The 26,862-nt window shown below is 38.9% G+C and overlaps 1 protein-coding gene and 1 pseudogene across 23 annotated transcripts in view, besides 1 other annotated feature; one reads left to right on the top strand and one right to left on the bottom strand.

Moving 5' to 3' along the window:
- The window catches only part of PCNX1 (pecanex 1), a 207,924-nt gene that overhangs the window by 16,821 nt on the left and 164,241 nt on the right, over window positions 1-26,862 (bottom strand). For all 23 annotated transcript variants that reach the window (XM_005267420.5, NM_014982.3, XM_005267422.5 and 20 more), the window contains 4 exons: window positions 24,764-25,017; window positions 22,143-22,373; window positions 10,132-10,232; window positions 9,220-9,370 (listed from right to left, as the gene is read on the bottom strand). In XM_005267420.5, the coding sequence (XP_005267477.1) occupies window positions 9,220-9,370; window positions 10,132-10,232; window positions 22,143-22,373; window positions 24,764-25,017 (737 nt within the window). The remainder of the gene's footprint in view (window positions 1-9,219; window positions 9,371-10,131; window positions 10,233-22,142; window positions 22,374-24,763; window positions 25,018-26,862) is intronic.
- PTTG1P1 (PTTG1 pseudogene 1) lies at window positions 12,686-13,165 on the top strand (annotated as a pseudogene).
- Window positions 21,360-22,559: an enhancer, noted in NCBI's record as "MED14-independent group 3 enhancer chr14:71542720-71543919 (GRCh37/hg19 assembly coordinates)". NCBI's record gives its function as "activates an origin of replication core promoter dependent on BRD2, BRD4, P300/CBP and CDK7 cofactors, and independent of MED14, by STARR-seq in HCT116 cells {active_cell/tissue: HCT116}" and the evidence as "EXISTENCE:reporter gene assay evidence [ECO:0000049][PMID:35650434]".

Here is a 26,862-nt window from a genome sequence, read left to right as displayed (position 1 = left end):
TCTCTCTCACACACACACACACACACACACACACACACACACACACACACACGAATACATCTAACCAAGGAGGCCAAAGATCTCTACAAAGAGAACTACAAAACACTGCTGAAGGAAATCAGACATGACACAAATGGAAAAACATTCCATGCTTATGGACTGGATGAATCAATACTGTTAAAACAGCCATACTGCCCAAGGCAATCTACAGCTTCGATGCCATTCCTATCAAGCTACCAATGTATTTTTTCACAGAATTAGAAAAAACTCCTAAAATTTTATAGAAGCAAAAAAAGAGCCTGAACAGCCAAAACAATTATAAGTAAAAAGAACAAAGCCAGAGGAATCACATTACCTGACTTCAAATTATAAGGCTACAGTGACCAAAATAGCACGGTACTGGTAAAAGACAGACATACAGACCAATGGAACAGAATGAAGAACCCAGAAATAAAGCTGTACACCTACAGCCATCTGAGCTTCAACAAAGTTGTCAAAAAATACACAATGGAGAAAGGACTCCCTATTCAATAAATGGTGCTAGGGTAGCTGGCTAGCCATATGCAGAAGAATGAAACCAGACTCCTATCTTTCACCATATACAAATATTAACTCAAGATGGAATGGATTAAAGATTTAAATGTAAGACCTTAAAATATAAGAATCCTAGAAGAAAATCTAGGAAACACCATGTTGGACATCAGCCTTGGGAAATAATTTATGACTAAGTCCTAAAAGCAATTGCAACAAAACCAAAAACTGACAAGTGAGACCTAATTAAACTGAAGAGCTTCTACACAGGAAAAGAAGTTGTGAACAGAGTAAACTGACAACCTACAGGATGGGAGAAACTATTCACAAACTATGCATCCAACAAAGGTCTAGTACCCAGAATCTATAACTTAATTCAATAAGCAAAAAACAACCCCATTAAAAAGTGGGCAAAAGATAAGAACAGATGCTCCTCAAAATAAGACATACAAGGAGCAAACAAGTGTGAAAAAATGCTCAACAACACGAATCATCAAAGAAATCCAAATCAGAACCACCATCTCACACCAGTCAGAATTACTATTATTAAAAAGTCAAAAAACAAGAGATGCTGGCAAAGCTGAGGAGAAAAGGGAATGCTTATACACTGTTGAAATGCAAGTTAGTTCAGTCACTGTGGAAAGCAGTTGGAGATTTCTCAAAGAAACAGAACTACCATTTGACCTACCAATCCCATTACTAGGTATAAATCCAAAAGAAAATAAATTGTTCTACCAAAAATACACATACATTCTTACGTTCATTGCAACACTATCAACAATAGCAAAGATGCAGAATCAATCTAGGTGCCCATCAATGGTAAATTGGATAAAGGAAATGAGGTACGTATACACCATGGAATACTACGCAGCCATAAAAAAGAATCAAGTCACTTCCTTTTGCAGCAATATGGCTGTGGATAGAGGCCATTATCCTAAGCAAATTAGGATAATTCTTAGAAGGCTCCTCTCTTCTAGGAATTGCCTTTAGCTAATGGAGCTGCCTGGGTAGGAGATGCCGGTGCGGGGTGGGGAGGAGGAGGGAGGTACATCCTTCTCTGTATGGGGTGAGAAGTAAGGAAGTATACAGCATAACTTTTGGAGATACTGCTAACTCCACAGCTTCTTCTAGAACCCAGCTAAGGCTAGAATTCAGCTAAAACACATTTTACTGAGCTACTTCCCTTTTTCCATCTGCCTTCTAACACTTCTTTACAACATTTCTTGAGTGCAACCCTCAATTGATTAATTCACAAGAATCTTGGACTCTAACCTGTTTCTAGACCACTTGATCTAAGATAGCATTCATAATATACTGATAAGCAGTTCTTAACTTCTGTATATCATACACCAACTCTCCTAATTTTTCTTTTAAATACTGCGTTCACATTTTCCTATACAAGCAGAGAGCCAGATGCCATATGATGTGCTATCTTTTAGAAAATAGTTCTATTAGGAAAGGAATGCCATCTTTGTAGAGTAGTATTTTTACAATTACTTGAATGAAAAATAAAAGTCCAGATACAGGCATAGTAATTTATTTTTCTACCTTTTAATTTTTGAGACAGGATCTCACTTTGTCACCCAAGCTGGAGTGCAGTGGTGTGATTATAGCTCACTGCAACCTTGACCTCCTTTGCTCAAGCAATCCTCTCACCTTAGCCTCCTAAGTACAGGCACACGCCCCCATGCCCAGCTCATTTTTTTTTTCTTTTGAGACAGAGTCTAGCTCTGTCTCCAGGCTGGAGTTCAGTGGCACAATCTCAGCTCACTGCAACCTCTGCCTCCCAAGTTCAAGTGATTCTCCTGCCTCAGCCTCCCAAGTAGCTGGGATTACAGGCACACACTGCCACGTCCAGCTAATTATTGTATTTTTAGTAGAGATCAGGTTTCACCTTGTTGGCCAGGATGGTCTCGATCTCCTGACCTCGTGATCCGCCCATCTCAGCCTCCCAAAGTGTTGGGATTATAGGCGTGAGCCACTGCACCCGGCCCATCTAATGTTTTAAAAAATTTTTTGTAGAGACAGGGTCTTGCTATGTTGCCCAGGGTGACCTCAAACACCTGAGCTCAAGCGATCCTCCTGCCTCGGCCTCCCAAAGTGCTGGGATTACAGGCACAAGCTACTACGCCTGGCCAATAATCATATTCTTAAGAAAATGAACAAAAAGCTGGAAATTATCAGGCATGCCCAAAGTGGAAAATGTTTCATCTTGTTTAAATATCTCTTTTCACTGGCTTTAAAATGGTTGAATAAATATGTAAAGTTCTACATACATTGAAAACTGTGAGGTGCCTCTGTATGTGGTGATTTGGAAAGATGTCCATGTCATATTAAATGAAAAAAAATAGCATGTTACAATTAATTCATATAGCAAAATTACATTTTTAAAAAGGAGCATATCACACACATAGATGAAAATGTATGTGCTTAGAAGAAATCACAAAAGATATATCAAATTACTGGCAACGATTGGTTTTTGGGGATACTATACAATAATGTGGAGTGATGGAAAGATGTTTATTATTGAGCAATGTTTAATTTTTAAGAATATTCAAGAGATGTTATCAGTTTTAATGGTAAAAGTTTTCAAAAGAATTTTAGAAATATACTTGAGATGCTACAAGCAGATGCACAGGATACACTATTTTTTTAGAACAATGAAACTCATTCATTAAACAAACATTTACAGTCCACTGTACCAAACAAGGAGAACATAAAAATTAATATGAAATTATTCCTTCCTCAAGGATATCACAGACTGTAAAATTTTCAGCACATATCATATGTAAACTCATTTGGATTTTGATTGGTTTATTTTAGTTCTAATAACTATGTAATCCTCAAAGAGTACTAATAAAGGAAAATAAATAAGGAGGAAAGATATTTTACAAAAGCAATTAAATAGAGGACAAGAGAACAGATGAAAAAAGCAATTTGCTTCATCTGAGTTTTGGTTAATCTTCTACAAAATTGGGATTAAAATAACTTTCTGGGTCGTGGTGATCTAATGCATATGAAAGTACTGTGTACATGTAGGACAATATGCAATAGTAAATACTGCACAGATCATAACAGTTTCTTATTGGGGTTTTTTTTAGAGACAAGGTCTTGGTCTGTCGCTCAGGCTGGAGTGCAGTGATGCAATCATAGCTCACTGTAACCTCAAACTCTTGGACTCAAATGATCCCCCGTCTCAGCTTCCCAAGTAGCTGGGACTAAAGGCATGCGATACCTTGCCTGGCTAATATTTCTGTTTCTTTTTCGCAGAGATGCAGTCCTACTATGTTGACCAGGCAGGTCTCAAACTCCTGGACTCTAGAGATCCTCCCACCTTGGCCTCCCAACGGTGCTGGGATTACAGGCGTGAGGCATCACGTCCAACGTAACAGTTTTAATTACCAAAAAGTAAGCACATGTAATCCATAAGGTTGGAGGGGGTGGGGAAAGAACTATAAAGAAAAAAGTTCAAAAACACCTATGAAGTACTAAAAGTACATCATCAAAGACTATGTCTGAAAGGCAAAGGTTAATAGAAATTTTATATTTTCAGCTCTCTGGAAACAGAATCTTCTTAAAAGTCAAGTTTGAAATATGATTTACAACAAAATGCACCCATTTTAAGTGTACAGTTAGATGCATCTTGACAAATGTGCATACCCAGGTAACCACTACTGCAATCTAGATATAGAGCATTTCCATCACCTCAAAAAGTTCCTTCCTGCCTCTGGCATTTACTCTCTAAACTTCAAGTAACCACTGATCTACTGTTTGTTATCAGTTTCTTTTTATTGCTGAGTAATATTCTGTTGTGTGGATATACCATAATTTGTATGCCTGTCTGCTAACGGACATTTGAGTAGTTTCCAGTTGGAGGTTATTATCAATAAAAACACTGTAAACATTTGTGTTTAAGTCTTTATGTAGACATATAGAGTTGACCCTGGAATAATGCAGGGGTTGGGGTGCCTATCCCTATGCACTCTAAAATCCATGAATAACCTTTGACTCCCCCAAAAATGTTAAATACAAATACCTTACTGTTGACTAGAAGCCTTACTAATAACATAGTCAATTAACACATATTTTGTATTTTATACATATTATATACTGTATTCTTATAATAATGTAAGCTAGAGAAAAGAAAATATTAAGAAAATCATAAGGAAGAGAAAATATATTTACTGTTCATTAAGTAGAAGTGGATCATCATAAAGGTCTTCATCTTTGTCATCTCACATTTGGAACAGGCTGAGAAGGAGGAAGAGGAGGGGTTGGTCTTGCAGTCTCAGAGGTGGAGGAGGTGGAAGGAGAGGGAAGAGAAGCAGGCACACTTGGTTTAACTTTACCAAAAAACATTGTACTTTTCTGACATTTTTCCTTTTTCATTTCTTTAAGAATGTTTCCATATAGTACCAATTCTTCTTCTACCTTATGCTTTAGTTTTAGTGCCCATATCACAGAAGGGTCCATACTGTAAAAGAAGTCAAAATCAGTCTTGAATAATCCCAATCACTCTGCCAGACTGTGTAAAGTCAACTTGTTTTCTGGCACTGCTTCCTTGTCTTCCTCATCATGTGGCGCTGGTTTGGAAGCACTCATCTCCATCAAGTTATCTTCTGTTAATACTTCTAGTGTGGTGCTTAATACCTCTTGAATTTGTCCAAGAGCCACACCTTGTAATCCTTCATCACCCTTTTTTTTTTTTTGCCATATCCACAATCTCATGATTTCCTTGATTAGCTCTGTCATAAATCCTGTGAAGTCATGTGCAACATCTGGAGTTTTCTCCAGCAGAAATTTATTATTTTGTATTTGATGGCTTTCATGGCTTTTTCTGTAACAACAAGGGCATCTTCAATGGTGTAATCTTTCTAGACTTTCATGATGTTCTATCAGGGTTCTCTTCCATAGCACTGACAATCCTTTCCATTGAGTACCATGTATAATGAGTCTTAAAGGTCTTTATCGTACCCTGATCTGGAGGCTGAATTAGAGATGTTATCTGGAGGCAAGCAGACCACCTCCATGCCTTCAGTGTTGAACTCATGAGGTTCTGGGTGGCCACAGGCATTGTCCAATATCAAAAGAACTTTAAAAGAAGGTCCTTTACTGGCAAGGTACTTCCTGACTTCAGGGACAAAGCATTGGTGGAACCAAACCAGGAAGAGTTCTCTTTGTCTAGGCCTTCTTGTTGTACAATCAAAATAGCAGTTGGTGTTTATCTTTTCCCCTCAAGGCTTAGGGGTCAGCGGCTTTATAGGTAAAGACAGTCCCGATCATAAACCCCTCTCTGCATTTGCACAAAACAGTAAACTTAGCTTACCCATCCCTGCCTTAAATTTTGGTGCTTGGTGCTCTTCCTTACTAAAAAAATGTCCTTTGTGGCTTCCCCACCCCCAACCCCCGCTGCAGAATAGAGCACTTTCACCTGCATTAAAGATCTGTTCAGGCAGATAACCTTTTTCCTCAATGATTTTCTTAATGGCATCTGGGAACTTGTCTGCTGCCTTTTGGTTGGCAGAAGCTGCTTCTCCTGTTATCTTGACATTTTTAAAGCCAAAGCTCTTTCTAAAATTATCAAGCCATCCTTTGCTGGCATTAAATTCTCCAGCTTTAGGTCCTTCACCTTCCTTATGCTTTAAGCTGCCATATAATGATGTCGCTTTTTCTTGAATAACATTAGTGTTCATAGGTATGCCTTTCTTACAGCAATCCTGCATCCAACATAAAAGCTATTATTTTCAACATGAGATGAAAAGGTATTTTGTAAAATGCGCAAGGTTTTCCACCTGCTGGTGTAGTAACAGTGGAAGCTTCACGAATTTTCTTTTTTTCCACACTTGTCCTTAAGATGGATTCACTTATCTCGGAATGGTGGGCAACCACAGTTGCAAACCTCAATCTACGGCACATATCAAGCAACTCAACCTTTCCTTTTAATGTCATGACTTTTCTCTGTTTCGTGGGGCCCTTTCAGCATCACTAGTGGCACTTTGTATGGGTCCCATGGTGTTATTTAAGGTTTATGGTACTGCACTAAACACAATGAGAAATACACAAGAACTGCAACAGATCACTTTTTATTGAAATACACAATTTACTGGAAAGGCGAACTGCTCACACAGAGATGATTAGTGCCACACGGCGTTTTAAGCATACTCCCAACATTTGAGCTCACTGCAATAGCAACAGAAGGTGACTACGAAATTACTGTAGTATATAATATTAATATGTACCACAGTTGACTTTATGTAGTTATGATTTAATACTGCATCTTTGTTTGTTTACATTTCTTTCAACTGCAGATGTTGCCATGTATAGTCTGTGTTTTTGTAAGTTTTGATAAATTTTAACTTTTTATAATAGATTTCTGTGTGTTTTATGGTAGCAAATAATAAAATAAACTAGTATCTATGTATATTTTATGCATTCATGACATACCTAAGTTTGTCTTATTTTATTGGTATTTCTAGGCTTTCTAGTTCATCTTTTTCAAATTGTTGCAAATTTCCAAAAAAGTTTCCAATACATTTACTGAGAAAATCTGTGTATAAATGTAGCTATGCAGTTCAAACCTGTGTTGTTCAAGAATCAATTGTACTTTAATTCTGTTGTATAAACATCTAGAAGTAGAATTGTTGGGTTGTAAGGTAGATGCATATATCCTTTCTTTTAGTATATAAGCCTATTGTCCACTTTTATGGATTTTCATGAGCACATGAACTTTGGCAATGGTGAGTACTGATTTACACACCTAGATTTTCCTGCCTGAGAGATCCTCATAGACAACCTAATGTCTTGCTCAAAGTGACGATCAATATATGGCTGTTGTTTGTGACTTTATAGGTCAATCTCCACCCTCCTAGAAGGTATATCAGAATTAAGGAACTTCTCCAGGTTGCATTACATTCTCCACTTCCTCTCCTCCCCTCAGCCCTCCATGGCTTCTTGGTTCCAATTCTACATTCTCACCTCCCTGTTTATAAATGTTGTCAGTCCAGGCTAATGATGGGAGTGTGCTATATCCAAGTGTGTTGGGCCAGAATATAAAGTAAAGAATCACTGATATCGGCAATAATGCCACAGCCAAAGGAATATTTAAGGAAAGAGACCTGGCAGCAACAGGCAAGAGAGTCCTGTAAGGAGAGACTAGGGGCAGGCACCCAAGGCATCAGAGGCTTTAATTCTGTGCTCAGTTTCATCTCGGACAAGCTGAGATAAAATATCTGTGATAACATTTAGAATTAATTGAAGAAGTTTGTCAGAAGCTATTAGAAAATTATGCTATATGAAAGAGAATATTTCTTATAAAGCAGATACATAGTTGGTACCTTTCCAGAAATGTCTAAGTTTTAAAAACATTTTAATCTGAAGAATTACCTTTTTTTGAAATGCACTGAATTTTGTCTCAAAACTCTAAAACTAGTCTGAAGATGGACAATTCTATTTGATCCCAAATTAATATTTCCCCAGGGCAACATCCTCAAATAGTATTCCATTTTTCACAGAGATTTTCAAATAATGTGTCCTTTATTAGTCATGTTCCTAAAGAATGTGAGGTTTTTAACTTAATTCCCACACTTTAGATTATACTATAATGACTTGAAGAGTAAGTCACCTTTTATTTGGGGGCAAAAGATTCAATTAGATTTGAGCACTGCAGATACACTTTAATGAGTCTTATCACAGGGTCTCTATCATCAGATCTGATAACTACTGTCCAGTGGAATGGAGGAACAAGTGCCAGTACTTAATTTCACAATATATTCTTGCAATCATCTAGGGCTTTAGAAATGCATTGTGGGGCCTCACTTTAATGTTATTACCCTACTAAGATATTTAGCTAAGCCTAAGTCTGTCCTAACCACCTATTATTCTATGTAACACATGGAATGAAATTCATCATTCAGTAACAGCAGCACTTGTAACATTCCTGAAGTGTTACCACACTATATTTAGAGTTGGCTAATATTCATACAGGGAATAGGCAGGAATTGCAATAATATGAAGTCAAAATAAGTATTATGGGGGCCATGGACCTTTACTTACAGCTTGTAAATAATTTTTCTTTTTCTTCACATTTCATGCCTGTATCAGTCACTCTCTAATGTTAATATTCAAATTTACTATTAGAAACATAGGTTCAGGTTTTAAAGATTTAATATATCTTGTCATGAAGTCACATTTTTCTTTTATTCAGATCAGAATATTTCTCAAAAGGTTCCTAAGAAACATAACTTGGAAGCTCATATGGTGTGGTTGTGTCCTCACCCAAATCTCATCTTGAATTATAGTTCCCATAATCCCCACGTGTCCTGGAAGGGAACTGGTGGGAGGTAATTGAATCATGAGAGCAGTTACCCCCATGCTGCTGTTCTCATGATAGCGAGTGAGTTCTCATGAGATCTGATGGCTTTATAAGGGGTTCTCCCCCTTTTGCTTGGCACTTCTCCTTGTTGCCACCATATGAAGAAGGATGTGTTTGCCTCCCCTTCCGCCATGACTGTAAGTTTCCTGAGGCCTCCCCACCCCTGTGGAACTGTGAGTCAATTAAACCTCTTTCCTTTATAAATTACCCAGTCTCGGGTATTCCTTACAGCAGCGTGAGAATGGACTAATATTGAAATCATGTGAAGAAGGATCAGTAAACACCAGTAATGAATTAGAAAAATCTCATCTTCTTACCTGATGAAGTTTAATGGACATACGGATCCCAGGGACTACTACTTTTCTTAGCAATTCCATGTCAGCAAAGATCCATTCATCTCGAATTGAAGAAATACGGAAATCTCCTTTAAATAGGGCATGCAATCCATAGAGGAATGACTCTAAATTACTGTTAAGATTGGAGATAAAAGTTCACATGTTTTGACAAAGGTCTTCCATGACACTGATTCTTACATCTGCGTGTGCATCAGAATCACCTGGGAGTGTTTTGAAAATACAGATTCCAGGAACTAATGTCAGAACCCTGAACCAGAATCACAAGAGACAGGGCCTGTCCGACCTGGGACCCTTATTTATAAACCACTGTAATAGTGAGTCCATGAAAATAAACAACAGGCAAAGAGCCTATAAGTTAAAATAAACTAAGAAAAGCTTAACGGAAAACATGTAGTTATCACAGAAAAAAATTTAAAATATGTGGTATTTCTTAATTCTGATTCATTTGGATGTATATGTTAGGAAATTCAGTTTAGATTTAGAATCCCCGAATCTAATATATTACTATATTAGAAGTATAAATACCCTGGACAAAGACTGCAAGGAAATATGGAAAATGAATTTATTAGAAAAATAGATGTAAACAGGAGGAGGCCAATCAAAATTCATGGGGTGGTTGTATTTTAAAATGTCTTAAATTCATTATATTCTCATTATCAGTGGCTACCCACACGTGTGAATTTTAAAAACCAGTTCTGTTAACCAGTTAAGACAGCTCACCTATGTTCAAGAAGATGATGTATAGAAATATAAAACCTAAAAAGACTTTACAATAAATTAGCATAGAATACATGCGTCCATGAAAAATCATTTTAGATTTAGGCTATACAGCTTCCCATGCTCTCTTCCTCAGAACAGAAATGCCTTCTTTACCTGGACATATGATGGGATGCAGTCCCCAAAGCTCTCCGTCCCAGAACACAGAGTCCATAACAGAGAGTCACTAGGGATGAATCTTTGTCCACATCCACAGGCTTTAAAAAAACAAAAAACATTAGTTATCAGAAAGGTATGTAAGTATTTAACAAATCATAAATCGAAATAATATAGCGAAATGATAAAGAATTCAAAGAGTACATAATTTCTATCTCCTCAAAATAAACTTAATAAAACTGTATGAAATGAAGCATGAATGTGTATGGGGAGTTTCTTTGGAATCCTTAAATAAAATCTAAAATTTCATAATAACGGAACAAAATAAAACAAAAAAAACTGACTCTATTATAAAATATTAGGATTTTAGCTAAAGATTTTAAAGTACTTACTGAGATTACTGATATTACCCTCTCTTGAAAATACAATATTTCTATCTATTAGCTACTTCTTTCTTTTTTTTTTATTAACTACTTATTTTTGACCATAACTTGACAAGCAGGCTATCAGTGGCAGGTGAGTTAGCCTATTAGTGACTATAAACATAGTGAAAATCAAGTTGATATTCATAAAATATTGTTTCCCCTCAACCTTTTTATTTTTTAACAATTACATGCCTTACAATTGAAAGAAGCTGCTAAGTCTCCTCTGTTTCTCCCTCTAAGAAAGCCCAAATAATAATCACTGATTACCTTATATAATACTAAAGAAAATCTTGGTAGCATCTCAGTTACCAAAAAATAATCCAGGGCAGTGCTTCTCAAAGTATAGTCCTAAGACCAGCAGTATCAACATCACCTGGAAACTTGTTAGAAATGCAAATCTCTGGCCACTCCAGATCTCTGAAATCAAATTCTGGAGGTGGGGTCAAGCAATCACTCTCCAGGTGATTCTAATACATGCTAAAGGTGAAGAATCAATGATACAGGCTAATAATTAGCTTAATTATTCTAACTTTGCCAATGGTATTTATTTTTGGCTTTATAAACCATTAACTTATAAATACAATAGGGGAACAGTCTAAGATATTAACTTACTATTGATAGGTTAATTATCATTAACTTGATAATTTAGTTAATGGCGACTGTGTTAGAGATATCCTAGTTGCTTGCCAATTAGATTGTTTCTAAAGACATATTACCTCTTACAGCACGTACTCTAGTTTCATCAAGTAGGCATTTTGAAAAAAAATTTGGGTCCAGGTTACAAAACAGTAAATAAAGAGTATGAGAGCACTAGTTTAAAGAAATACAAAAGAAAAATAAAAGAGAGTGGGTGTAGACTTGAAGTTGTATAAAGAAAAAATACTAAAGGTAGTTACAACGGGTGATAAAATGACGGGTGATCTTCATTCTTTTTTTCTTTTTCTCTACCTCCCTTCCCCTGTCAACTTTCTAGACTAAAAATGTATTGTTTCTGTGATGAGAAATTTTTTTTTTTAATTCAGATTTACCTCAGCCAAGATGATTCAATAGAGACCATATTTACCCCCCTAGCTGAAACAGCCAAAGACTGGGCAGAATACATGACACAACAGTTTTTAGACACTGGACACCGGTCCCTGAGAGACAGGAAACAAATGAGGTAGCCCTACAACTGACTGAGCTTATTACCTAGAGAGTTTCCAGACCACAGCACAAGAAAGGGGAGCACAAATTGAGACAGAGGCCTCTGAGCCAGCTGGAGCTCACAGGGCAGAGTGCTAGAGAGAGCTACTGAGAGAGGGAGGCGAGGGAACTCGGAGATCTACGGCAACAGCACACACGCAAAGAGGACCCTAGGCTGAGAAAAGAATCATCCGAATGGAATACAAAGGAACAGCGAAAAACCTTGGGACTGGCTAGAACACTCAGGATGGCATTGTCTTGGTCATGGGGAAGAATTAGCCCCAGACTAACAGCTGCTCTGGTCCCTCCAAAGCAAGCCCTGAAAGGATCAAACTGTCCCCAAAGAATTTAACTGTGTCACAAAACAAAGTTCAAGAATTATTTACAGGAATACAGAAATATCCAGCACCCTTCAGAGTAAAATTCATAAAGACTGGCATCTAATAAAAAATTGACAGGCATGCAAGTAGCAGGAAAATAGGACCCATAATAACAATCAATTAACCACTCAATCAAAACTGACCCACAACTGACATTGATGTTAGGCTTAACCCACAAGGATATTAAAACAACTATTTTAACTATATTCCATAAGCTCAAGAAGGCAGAGGAATGACTGAGCATGTTGAATGAGACATGGAAGATTTGTAGAAAAGACCCAAATCAAACTTCTAGAGACACAAAATGAAGCAATGTCTGAGATAAAAAATATACTGAATGGGATTACTGGTATATTAATTCAGAAGAAAAGATAAATGATCTCAAAAACTTAGCAAGAGAAACTATGCAAAATGAAATACAGAGAGAAAAAAGACTGAAAATAAATGAACAGGGCGTCAGGGAGCTGTAGGACAATCAAGCAGCCTAATACAAATATAATTGGAGTTCCTGCAAAAGGCGTAGAGGAAAACAGAAAAAACTATTTTTAATAATGGTGGAAGGAGAGTCTTGGAGTAATCCAGAATAACTACTCTGATCCTTATTGATAAGGAAAACAGAGAACCAGGCACCTGTGTGGCTCCTAAGGATGGGCTGAAGCTGGGGTCTGGGCCTTATGACTGAGAAGACTGTTAAAGCTAAAACCACCTTTATTCCTGCCTCGATGACACCTATCCAAAAGTAGAAAAATGCTCCCCTTTTAATCCTATAGACTTTTTAATCCTATAGACTTTGAGAATTTTGACCTGTCTGAGGAGCATCAGATTGCATACCTCCCCTCGAATGGCGTGCCTCTCATGGTTCTGGATGGGAGAGAGAACTGGAAAAGCTGTTACAGCTGGGGTCCCCCCTCCACCATAGGAATCCAATTTGATGCAGTCTCCTTTGATCATTCTGTCGATCCTGAATGTTTGCTTATGACACAGATATTTATATTTCTTAGTCCTTTATAGTTTGTGTTTGTATTAATAAAGCATGTCTTTAATAGATTTTTTTAAATCATGAAAAGTTTCCAAATCTGAAAAAAATTATGTACTTACAGATTGAAGAATCTCAATGAACTTCAAGAACAAGAAACAGGTGGCTGGCAAGATGGCCGAACATGAACAGCTCCGGTCTACAGCTCCCAGCAACATCAAGGCAGAAAGCAGGTGATTTCTGCATTTCCAACTGAAGTACCCGGCTCATCGCATTGGGACTGGTTAGACAGTAGGTGCAGCCCACAGAGGGCAAGCCGAAGCAGGGTGGGGCGTTGCCTCACTTGGGAAGCACAAGAGGTCGGGGAACTTGCTCCCCTAGCCAAGGGAAGCTGTGATGGACCGTGCCGTGAGGAACAGTGCATTCTGGCCCAGATACTATGCTTTTCCCACGGTCTTCACAACCCACAGACCAAGAGATTCCCTCGCGTGCCTATACCACCAGGGCCCTGGGTTTCAAGCACAAAACTGGGCAGCCATTTGGGCAGACACCGAGCTAACTGCCAGAGTTTTCATACCCCAGTGGCGCCTGGAATGCCAGCGAGACAGAACTGTTCACTCCCCTGGAAAGGGGGCTGAAGCCAGGGAGCCAAGTGGTCTAGCTCAGTGGATCCCACCCCTACGGAGCCCAGCAAGCTAAGATCTACTGGCTTGAAATTCTTGCTGCCAGCACAGCAGTCTGAAGTTGACCTGGGATGCTCAAGCTTGGTGGGGGAAGGGGCATCTGCCATTACTGAGGCTTCAGTAGGCGGTTTTCCCCTCACAGTGTAAGCAAAGCTGCCAGGAAGTTTGAACCAGGCAGAGCCCACCACAGCTCAGCAAAGCCACTGTAGCCAGACTGCCTCTCTGGATTCCTCCTCTCTGGGCAGGGCATCTCTGAAAGGCAGCAGCCCCAGTCAGCGGCTTATAGATAAAACTCCCATCTCCCTGGGACAGAGCACCTGGGGGAAGGGGTGGCTGTGGGCACAGCTTCAGCAGACTTAAATGTTGCTGCCTGCTGGCTCTGAAGAGAGCAGCGGATCTCCCAGCACAGCACTTGAGCTCTGCTAAGGGACAGACTGCCTCCTCAAGTGGGTCCCTGACCCCTGTGCATCCTGACTGGGAGACGCCTCCCGGGCAGGGGTCGACAGACACCTCATACAGGAGAGCTCTGACTGGCACCTGCCGGGTGCCCCTCTGGGACGAAGCTTCCAGAGAAAGGAACAGGCAGCAATCTTTGCTGTTCTGCAGCCTCCACTGGTGATACCCAGGCAAACAAGGTCTGAAGTGGACCTCCAGCAAATTCCAGCAGACCTGCAGCAGAGGGGCCTGTTAGAAGGAAAACTAACAAACAGAAAGGAATAGCATCATCATCAACCAAAAGGATGTCCACACAGAAACCCCATCTGAAGGTCACCAGCATCAAAGACCAAAGGTAGATAAATCCACGAAGATGAGGAAAAACCAGTGCAAAAAGGCCGAAAATTCCAAAAACCAGAATGCCTTTTCTCCTCCAAAGGATCACAACTCCTCGCCAGCAAGGGAACAAAACTGGATGGAGAATGAGTTTGACAAATTGACAGAAGTAGGCTTCAGAACATGGGTAATAACAAACTCCTCCAAGCTAACGGAGCATGTTCTAACCCAATGCAAGGAAGCTAAGAACCTTGAAAAAAGGTCAGAGGAATTGCTAACTAGAATAACCAGTTTAGAGAAGAACATAAATGACCTGATGGAGCTGAAAAACAGCATGAGAACTTTGTGAAGCATACAAAAGTATCAATAGCCAAATCGATCAAGCAGGAGAAAGGATATCAGAGATTGAAGATCAACTTAATGAAATAAAGCATGAAGACAAGATGAGAGAAAAAAGAATGAAAAGGAACGAACAAAGCCTCCAAGAAATATGGGACTATGTGAAAAGACCAAACCTACATTTGATTGGTGTACCTGAAAGTGATGCAGAGAATGGAATCAACTTGGAAACATTCTTCAGGATTATTACCTAGAACTTCCCCAGCCTAGCAAGACAGGCCAACATTCAGATTCAGGAAATACAGAGAACACCACAAAGGTACTCCTTAAGAAGAGCAACCCCAAGACACATAATCGTCAGATTCACCAAGGTTGAAATGAAGGAAAAAATGTTAAGGGCAGCCAGAGAGAAAGGTCGGATTACCCACAAAGGGAAGCCCATCAGACTAACAGCAGATCTCTCTGCAGAAACCGCACAAGCCAGAAGAGAGTGAGGGCCAGTATTCAACATTCTTAAAGAAAAGAATTTTCAACCCAGAATTGCATATCCAGCCAAACTAAGCTTCATAAGCTAAGGAGTAATAAAATCCTTTACAGACAAGCAAATGCTGAGAGATTTTTGTCACCACCATGCCTCCCTTACAAGAGCTCCTGAAGGAAGCACTAAATATGGAAAGGAAAAACCAGTACCAGCCACTGGTACTATAAATTTACCAAATTGTAAAGACCACTGACACTATGAAGAAACTGCATCAACTAATGGGCAAAATAACCAGCTAACATCATAATGATAGGATCAAATTCACATATAACAATATTAACCTTAAATGTAAGCAGGCTAAATGCCCCAATTAAAAGACACACACTGGCAAACTGGATAGAGCCAAGACTCATCGGTGTGCTGTATTCAGGAGATCCATCTCATGTGCAAAGACACACATAGGCTCAAAATAAAGGGATGGAGGAATATTTACCAAGTGAATGGAAAGCAAAAAAAAAGCAGGGGTTGCAATCCTAGTCTCTGATAAAACAGACTTTAAACCAACAAAGATCAAAAAAGACAAAGAAAAGCTACGGTAAAGGGATCAATGTAGCGAGAAGAGCCAACTATCCTAAATATATATACACCCAATACAGGAGCACCCAGATTCATGAAGCAAGTCCTTAGAGACCTACAAACAGACTCAGACTCCCACACAATCATAGTGGGAGATTTTAACACCCCACTGTCAATATTAGATCAGCGAGATAGAAAATTAACAAGGATATTCAGGACTTGAACTCCGCTCTGGACCAAGCAGACCTAATAGATGTCTACAGAACTCTCCACCCCAAATCAACAGAATATACATTCTTCTCAGCACCACATTGCACTTATTCTAAAACTGACCACATAATTGGAAGTAAAACACTCCTCAGCAAATGCAAGAGAACAGATATCAAAACAAACGGTCTCTCAGACCACAGTGCAATCAAATTAGAACTCAGGATTAAGAAAATCACTCAAAACCGCACAACAACACGGAAACTGAAAAACCTGCCCCTGAATGACTATTGGGTAAATAATGAAATCAAGGCAGAAATAAATAAGTGCTTTGAAACCAATGAGAACAAAGACACAACATACCAGAATCTCTGAGACACAGCTAAAACAGTGTTTAGAGAGAAATTTATAGCACTAAATGCCCACAGAAAAAAAGTGGGAAAGATCTAAAATCAACACCCTAACATCGCAATTAAAAGAACTAGAAAAGCAAGAGCAAACAAATTCAAAAGGTAGCAGAAGACAAGAAATAACTAAGATCAGAGCAGAACTGAAGGAGATAGAGATACAACAAAACCCTTCAAAAAATGAATCCAGGAGCTGGTTTTTTGAAAAGATCAACAAATAGACTGCTAGTTAGATTAATAAAGAAGAAAAGAGAGAAGAATCAAATAGACACAGTAAAAATGATAAAGGGGATATCACCACTGATCCCACAGAAATACAAACTACCATCAGAGAATACTATAAACACCTCTACGCAAATAAACTAGGTCTAGAAGAAATGGATAGATTTCTGGACACACACACCCTCCCAAGTATAAACCAAGAAGAAGTCGAATCCCTGAATAGATCAATAACAAGTTCTGAAATTGAGGCAGTAATTAATAGCCTACCAACCAAAAAAAGCCCGGGATCAGACGGACTGACAGCTGAATTCTACCAGAGGTACGAAGAAGAGCTGGTACCATTCCTTCTGAAACTATTCCAAACAACAGAAAAAGAGGGACTCCTCCCTAATCATTTTATGAGACCAGCATCATCTTGATACCAAAACCTGGCAGAGACACAACAAAAACAGAAAATTTCAGGCCAATATACATGATGAACATCAATGAGAAAATCCTCAATAAGATACTGGCAGACAGAATCCAGCAGCACATCAAAAAGCTTATCCACCATAATCAAGTTGGCTTCATCCCTGGGATGCAAGGCTGGTTCAACATATGCAAATCAATAAACGTAATCCATCACATAAACAGAACCAATGACAAAAACCACATGATTATCTCAATAGATGCAGAAAAGGCCTTCAATAAAATTCAACAGCCCTTCATGCTAAAAACTCTCCATAAACTAGGTACTGATGGAACCTATCTCAAAATAATAAGAGCTATTTATGACAAACCCACAGCTAATATCATACTGAATGAGCAAAAACTGGAAGCATTCCCTTTGAAAACCGGCACAAGACAAGGATGCCCTCTCTCACCACTCCTACTCAACACAGTATTGGAAGTTCTAGACAGGGCAATCAGCCAAGAGAAAGAAATAAAGGGTATTTAAATAGGAAGAGAGGAAGTCAAATTGTCTCTGTTTCCAGATGACATGACTGTATATTTAGAAAACCCCACTGTCTCAGCCCAAAATCTCCTTAAGCTGATAGGCAACTTCAGCAAAGTCTCAAGATACAAAATCAATGTGCAAAAATCACAAGCATTCCTATACAGCAATAACAGACAGAGGGCCAAATCATGAGTGAACTTCCATTCACAATTGCTACAAAGAGAATAAAATACCTAGGAATACAGCTTACAAGGATGTGAACGACCTCTTCAAGGAGAACTACAAACCACTGCTCAAGGAAATAAGAGAGGACACAAACAAATGGAAAAACATTCCATGCTCATGGATAGGAAGAATCAATATTGTGAAAATGGCCATACTACCCAAAGTAATTTACAGATTCAATGCTATCCCCATCAAGCTACCACAGACTTGCTTCTAAGAATTAGAAAAAACTACTTTAAATTTCCTATAGAATCAAAAAAGAGCCCGCATAGCCAAGACAATCCTAAGCAAAAAGAATAAAGCTGGAGGCATCACATTACCTAACTTCAAACTCTACTGCAAGGCTACAGTAATCAAAACAGCATGGTACTGGCACCAAAACAGATATATAGATCAATGGAACAGAACAGAGGCCTCAGAAATAATGCCACTCATCTACAACCATCTGATCTTTGACAAACCTGACAAAAACAAGACAATGGGGAAAGGATTCCCTATTTAATAAATGGTGCTGGGAAAACTGGCTACCCATATGCAGAAAACTGAAACTGGACCCCTTCCTTACACCTTATACAAAAATTAACTCAAGACGGATTAAAGACTTAAATGTAAGACCTAAATCCATAAAAACTCTAGAAGAAAACCTAGGCAATACCATTCAGGACATAGGCATAGGCAAAGACTTCATGACTAAAACACCAAAAGCAATGGCAACAAAAGCCAAAATTGACAAATGGGATCTAATTAAACTAAAAAGCTTCTGTACAGCAAAAGAAACTATTATCAGAGTGAACAGGCAACCTACAGAATGGGAGAAAATTTCTGCAATCTACCCATCTGACAAAGGGCTAATATCCAGAATCTACAAGGAATTTAAATTTACAAGAAAAAAAAACCCGATCCAAAAGTAGGTCAAGGATATGAACAGACACTTCTCAAAAGAAGACATTTATGTGGCTAACAAACATATGAAAAAAAGTTCATCATCAATGGTCATTAGAGAAATGCAAATCAAAACCACAATGAGATACCATCTCACTCCCGTTAGAATGGCGATCATTAAAAAGTCAGGAAACAAAAAAAAGTTACAAAGTCAGGCGATCATTAAAAAGTCAGGTGCTGGAGAGGATGTGAAGAAATAGGAATGCTTTTACACTGTTGGTAGGAGTGTAAATTAGTTCAACCATTGTGGAAGATAGAGTGGCGATTCCCCAAGGATCTAGAACCAGAAATGCCATTTGACCCAGCAATCCCATTTTGGGTATACACACAAAGGATTATAAATCATTCTACTATAAAGACACATGCACATGTATATTTATTGCAGCACTGTTCACAATAGCAAAGACTTGGAACCAATCCAAATGCCCATCAGTGATAGACTAGATAAAATGTGACACATATACAACATGGAATACTATGCAGCCATAAAAAAGGATGAGTTCATGTCCTTTGCAGGGACATGGATGAAGCTGGAAAGCATCATTCTTAGCAAACTAACACAGGGACAGAAAACCAAACACTGGATGTTCTCACTCATAAGTGGGAGTTGAACAATGAGAACACATGGACACAGGGAGGGGAACATCACACACCGGGGCCTGTCGGGGTGTAGGGGGCTATGGGAGGCATAGCTTAGGAGAAATACCTAATGTAGATGACAGGTTGATGGGTACAGCAAGCCACCATGGCATGTGTATACCCATGCCACAAACCTGCATGTTCTGCACATGTATCCCAGAACTTAAAGTATAATAATAATTAAAAAAGAAACATGAGAAAACTACACTAAGGCACATCATATTTAAATTGCTTAAAACCAGTAATAAAGAGAAAATCTTAAAAGCAGCCAGTGAAAAAAGATATTATATTGTACCTACCATTTTTTTCAGAGGAACAAAGAAAAGAATGACAGCAGACTTCTCATCAGAAACAATGCAAGCCAGAAGACAGTATAGCAACATCTTTAATTTGCTGAAAGAAAAAAATTAGTTCAAGCCTGGTAGCACTATTTTGTTACTGGTGGAGAAGGCGTGTGCCCTAGTCCCTAAATTGCATTAGAAATTCTCACCAAGAATTCTTGCTAATACTAACAACAAAGTGAAAGAAATACTTATCGTTTGAAAAGTAGGAGAAAGAAGCTGAGATGAATCTTTTCATTTTCCCATTGAAGGTAATTTTAATGCAGTTAGTTCAGGATCAATCTTACACTATCTTGAAAGGAAACTATGGAAGAAGGGTCTGAGGCAGCTTTTAAACATTCAGATGAGGGCACTACAGTTTGGAGTCAGCAAGTCTGGCCTGATTAATGTCCCCAGGAAAAGGTTATTCTGGGAATGTTGATTCAGGGAATAGCATGCAAGATCTTAAGGAGATGAAGATAATCTTGTTCAACTTAAAAGAGAAACTAGAGCAGATGGGAAGACTATATAGCTGGAAAAATACAACTGATAATTTTTTTCTAAACAGATTGTAAGAGTAGAAAACAAAACAGACCAGGATTAGTGAAATAAGCTACCTGATGAGACTGGGGATACCCAAGTTTAGAGGTAAACCTTTTGAATATATGATTTATTACCAATCAGGAGGACTTCCTTGAGCCATGTTCATGACTTCAGCAATAATCTCTAAGAGAAAGGTCCTTAAGGTAGGATGGAACCCTGTTCCTGAGTGGGTAGACTGTGAACTCCTAGCCCAAAACATCATGATTAACTCATAACAAAATAGCCAATATCATCTAAGCCAAAGAAGAGATATAGAATAACATGACTGTTCCCATTACTCTCCCCAACAAAAGTCAGTTCAAGGATTTGAGAACAGTACGCGAAGTATTTTAAGTGTATTTTATTTATGAAAAAATAAAACTATTTATTATATGTTTGGAAGAAAGAAGTTTAGCTTTGAGGTCCTCTACTTCTAGCCACTGTCTGCTGGTCTTCTGAACCTTTTGTGAGGTTATTTTATCCAACTCACTATCCCTTCTTTTAAGATATACTACTCTGCTCAGTATATACTGCACATCTAGTATAAAAGCTCAAAGGCCACTGCTCAGAAAGGAAGTACAAGATGCTCCTGTTCTTATTGATGGAGTAAAAAGAGGCTGATATGATGGCTGTCTTACTCTAAGTGGTGGCAAAGGAAGGACTAAACCAAGTGCTAAACGTGAAGATGGTCGGTATGCACCTCCTAGACCATGACGAAGGCACCAGTTGTCAAGGTAGCTCACACTGCTCCATGATAGCAGGTACATCTGTACATACGACACTGGTGGTTCAACTACACAAGGCTTTTGCTTAAAAAGCAGCAGTGGTGGTAGGAATTAGCTTTGTAATCACAGGCCTTGGCACTGCAATTCTGTTACATGGAGTCTGATCAGGGGTGTGATACTACCACAAAAATCATGAGACCTAGAAGAAAGCTGTAGTTGCTGAAGTCCCTAACTCATCTTACTTTTAGGATAAGACATGTTATCCTAATGTGTGGATTGGGAGCCACCAGAATTAAAATCACCTAGGGTGATCCCCAGCCTAGACCTAGATCAGAGTCTTGCAGGTGGGGCCCAGGAATCTGCATTTTTACAAGTTCCTATGTCTTTTTTACTCATATTAACATTTGAAAATCAATGGTCTAGATGCACACTGTCTAATATGGTAGTCACTAGCTATATGGGCTCCTAAATTTAAATCAGTTAAAATTAAATAAAATTTACAATTCGGCTTTTCAGTTGTACTAGCCACATTTCATGTGTTTCACAGCCACATGTGGCAGTGACAGCATATTTCCAACACTGCAGAAAGTCCATTAGCCAGCACTGGTCTAGACTTTCTATTTGGGACAAAGACATTTAATTATCCTTAAGTGTGGCAGACAGAGGTAGAATTTCTTAAGGACTAGATTTTGGAGGGTAATGCATGGAATGTGAATGTATGTGCATGCCTGTACATGCCCAGGATGAAGGAGGTGCTACCTGGACAGTGAGACTGGGACACTGCAAATGAAAGAAAGAGGGAGGCCACTTCCTTTAACCTGTTTTGGCAGAGCTGGTTTGGCCCAACCATAATGAACCAGTTAGGTTATCTTAACCAGAAGATCAGAAAGAGGAAGGTCTTGAAAAACTGACCTCATAAGAACTAACAGGGACATTCTTTGCATCTTTGGAAAAACCTGGATTCAAAGAGTTATAAATGAAATAAACTCTACCTTTGCTCTTCGGGAAGAGCAGTACTCTATCCAGTTGAGGTAAATCACACAGAAACTCTCCCTAGATATGCCTGCCAGTCGGTGGTCATAGTCTTCATCAATGTTTGGATTAAAGGTCGGGTCCACATCGACATAATTGCGATCAGCACACAGACGAAGTCCTTCCTGCATTGTCTCATTAGCTAGCCACTCCTCTAGCTTAGACGAGGTCGTAACATAATAAATGATACCCTAACATGAACAAGACAAAAAAAAAAGAATTCAGATTAAATTACAATTTCAATTAACTCAGATTACTCAATGAAATAAATTCCAATTATTTATAATGATAAATAGTAAAACACTTTTTAGTCTGACTAAAAAGTATTTTATTCCCCCTCAATATTCTACATATATATTTTAAGAATACTATAATAATATACCTCAGGCCTTACTGGATGAAAAAACATCTAATACTTTAAAATCACAACCATAAATTCAACAAAGCAACTTCAAAACAATTCTATTTATTTTATTTTATTATTTATTTATTTAGAGACAGAGTCTTACTCTGTCGCCCATGCTAGAGTGCGATGGCATAATCTCGGCTCACTGCAACCTCTATCTCCTGGGTTCAAGCAACTCTCATGCCTCAGCTGGGACTACAGGTGCCCGCCACCACACCCAGATAAATTTTTGTATTTTTAGTAGAGATGGGTTTTCACCATTTTGGCCAGGTTGGTCTTGAACTCCTGACCTCAAGTGGTCCATCCGCCTCGGCCTCCCAAAGTGCTGGGATTGCAGGTATCAGCCACTGCGCCTGGCCCTAATCTATGGATTTTACAGATTTTGAACTTAGGATATTTCAAAAGAGGTAAAAAAAACTTTACTGTGCTGCATTTATTTTGAATAATTTCTCATAGAGAGTTATTAAGGCCATCTGGTGGTCCTAGGCCAAGTTATAGAGATATATATTTAGAACTAGAGATAGAAAATGCCACACGCACATACAAGTAAAAAATATTGTGAAATCAATCTCTAGCTTCCTGAGGTTAGGTTAAGCCAAACATAAAATGGAAGGCTCAGCGTTCATCCCAATCAGCAAATAAGGTCGTGAGGAGAGGTAACAACACAAGATATGAAAATTTCAGGCTGGGGATGGCGGCTCACACCTATAACCCCAGCACTTTGGGAGGCCAGTGTGGGAGAACTGCTTGAGCCCAGAGTTTGAGAGCCTGGGCAACACAGTGAAACCTCATCTCTACAAAAAAATAAAAAATTAGCTGGGTGTGGTGGCATGCACCTGTAGTCCCAGTTACTCAGGAGGTTAACGTGGGTGTATTGCTTGAGCCCTGGAGGTCAAGGCTGCAGTGAGCTACGATCATGCCACTGTAGTCCAGCCTGGGCAACAGAATGAAACCCTGTCTCAAAAAAAAAAAAAAAAAAAAAAGAGAAGAAAAGAAAAAACGATGTGAAAAATTCAGATGTTGGTTATTAAAGCTTAGCACACATTTCCTTCTTAAAAATACTGGCTTCACCTGGAAGCCCCTAAGTGACAACCATACTGTATTTCTGTAAACTCTTTAGCAAAAATAAGAGTATCTTGTGCAGTAAAGGATTAACCTTGCCCAACGAGGGGTTTGGCCTTTACCCTTGGGTTCTAGGGGGTAACCGCTAAGCCTTGGGATGCCCTTCCCGTTAAAGAGTCTTTGTTCAGCTGGAGACCTAGAGCCACACAGTATCAGCATGACCTCTGGACGTCCTGGAGACTTACGCTGGCCATGTGGATGGTCAACCATGCCTACGTGACAGGACACCAAGCTCGAGCAAGCTTCCTTGGTGGACAACAGCCCGTGAGTACAGCCATGCTTCACTGCTGGGAAAAACAGGCATCTGCACAACTCTACTGTGAGAGGACAACTGGAAGCTCCTTGATTCGGTGTCTCTGGACAATATCCTATGTACCTCTTCCTTTGGCTGATTTTAATCTGTGTCCTTCTACTGTAGTAACATGAGTGTAATGTGGGTATGACAACTTTGCTGAGTTCCGTGGGTGTTTCTAGCAACTTACCCTATGAGTGGTCTTGGGGACCCCAAAATTACAGCTGATGTCAGAAGTGAGGGTGGTCTTAGGGACCTCTTGAATTTTGCAATACTTTTATTCAGTTTGTTGAATGAAAGCAGTGCAAAGCAGTGGTCAAGGGCAAGGGCTCAAGAGTCAGACAAGCCTGGCTTTTAAGCCCCAAACTCTACTTGTTAGAGGATCTTGGACAAGTTAACTTCTGATCCTTAAGTTGTTTATTTGTAAAATAGGGAAATACTTCTTTACAGTATTAAGTAAGATACACGTGTGTATGCGTATTTGTGTGTACATATTCCTTAGCACAAGCTAAAACACAAGCTACAAATGTCTAGCTATTATTATTAATGAATGAATAGAATGAATTCCAGTAAACAAAGAGAAGGCAAGACGTTAGTAGGCTTATTTTTATGGAGTATTCTGGATCCTAGAGAATTTAAATAAGTACTTGGAAGCAAAGCATACGTTAAAAAAAAGTATATACATATATATATACTTATATATGTCATTCCCAAGAAGAAACTCTGATTATCTAAAGATCTAAGTAGGCACATACTCCTACCTTGACATAGTAAGTGGTGAGTACTTTCCGAAGATCAAAGACTTGAAGCATAGAAGCAGCACTGTTATCAGTGATGCTATAACCCTCCAGAATGTACTTTGTGACTATCACTTCCCAAGCTAGCCATCGCTGGCTAAATGCAGCATTAAATGAAAGCATGTGAGGAATATGGCCAGGTTCACAACAGCAAAATCCTTCATCTTCCTCTACACCTTCAGTAATGGCCTCCACTTCCCGTTGTTGACAGTAGGTACCTTAGAGAGAGAGAGAGAGCTTTACAAAGGGGGAAAACCAGAAAGTGGGAAAAATGAATGCAAGGACACATAAGATTTAGAAAAAAATACATATTTTATTGCAATTGAAAGTATGTGATGGATTTGCCTTAGAATATTCATTAACAAATTGTAGCAAACTCCAGAAATCACGCATATTCTATATTCATATCCTGCAAAAACACAATGTGCATTAGCATTAGCACACTACGCTTTTTTTGTTTGTTTTGAGACAGAGTCTCCCTCTGTAGCCCAGGCTGGAGTGCAGTGGCGTGATCTCAGCCCACTGCAACCTCTGCCTCCTGGGTCCCGGTTCAAGTAATTTCCTGCCTTAGCCTCCAGAGGAGCTGGTATTACAGGCATGCGCCACCAGGCCCAGCTAATTTTTGTATTTTTAGTAGAGACGGGGTTTCACCATGTTGGTCTTGAACTCCAGACCTTGCGATCTGCCTGCCTCAGGCTTCCAAAGTGCTGAGATTACAGGCATGAGCCACCGCACTCACACTACGGGTCTGATAATTCGTGTGGTAAAGTAACTTTAATTTTGACTTACTGATTTCTAAATGTTTCAAATGGGTTTACAATTGTGTTTGTATCAAATGAAGGACCAAAGAGTAAAGGCACATCTCCTGAAGGTCTGAGTTAATTTTAGAAATACAAAAACCAGTGGAATGTTATTGAAGTAAAAATACAAAAACAGATTAAATATAGAATGAGACCCATAGCAATCTAGTGCCAGCAAAATACCATCTGTTACACTAATGTTAATTTTTATTTTGTTCTGTGGTCTTGTTTCAACTCAATTTGTAAATTCCTTATATTATGTAAAGACTATAAAGTAATCATACTTAACTGTACAGAAATCAGGCTGCACAATAATTTTTTTTCTTTAAAAGTAATATTAATACATACACCATCCATGTCTGAAAACCACTGCTTTGAGAGAAACTGATACCATGACACCTAGTCCCAGCTGATGGTGGTGGTGGTACGATGAAAGATAAGGCTAAAAAGGTTTTTATAGCCAAGCTAAGGAGCTGTGCTGTTTAGCACAGCTACAGAGTGCTCTTTAGCACTCTATAGCCCTCAATAATTCCATTAATTCATTTTCTTGTTTAATAACTGTCACCAACACTTCCATAATAATGTTACATAGTGTTGACAAGAAAAACCCTTGACTTGAACCTGACACTGATAGGAATACATGCTGTGGGTGACCATTTTATATGATACTGCCTAAAAATATACAGGCATACCTTGTTTTATTGTACTTTGCTTTACTGCTCTTTGAAGGCACTGTGATATCTACAAATTGAAGGTTTTTGACAACCTTGTGTCAAGCAAATCTATTGGTACCATTTTTCCAACAGCATGTGCTCACTTCCTGTCTCTGGATCACATTTTGGTAATTCTCTCAATATTTCAAACATTTCATTACTGTTGTATCTATAATGGTGATTTGTGATCAGTGATCTTTAATGTTAGTGTTCTAAGTACTTTGGAGTACCACAATTTATGCCCATATAAGATGGCAAACTTAAATTGACAAATGGTGTATGAACTCTGACTGCTCCACTGACCAGCCATTCCCCTACCTCTCCCTCTTTTCAGGCCTTCCCATTCCCTAAGACATAGCAATATTGAAATTTGGGCAATTTATAACACTACAATGGCCTCTAAGTGTTTAAGTAAAGAAACAGTTGCATGTCTCACTTCAAATCAAATGCTAGAAATAAGGAAGCTTAGTGAGGAAGGCATGTCAAAAGCCAAATGCATTAGTCCATTCTTGTGTTGCTGTAAAGAACTACCTGAGACAGGGTAATTTGT

The sequence above is a fragment of the Homo sapiens genome, chromosome 14, assembly GCF_000001405.40.
Source record: "Homo sapiens chromosome 14, GRCh38.p14 Primary Assembly".
Classification (NCBI taxonomy): Eukaryota; Metazoa; Chordata; class Mammalia; order Primates; family Hominidae; genus Homo; species Homo sapiens.
Note: the sequence above shows the minus strand (reverse complement) of the source record. Positions and strands in the feature narration are given on the sequence as shown.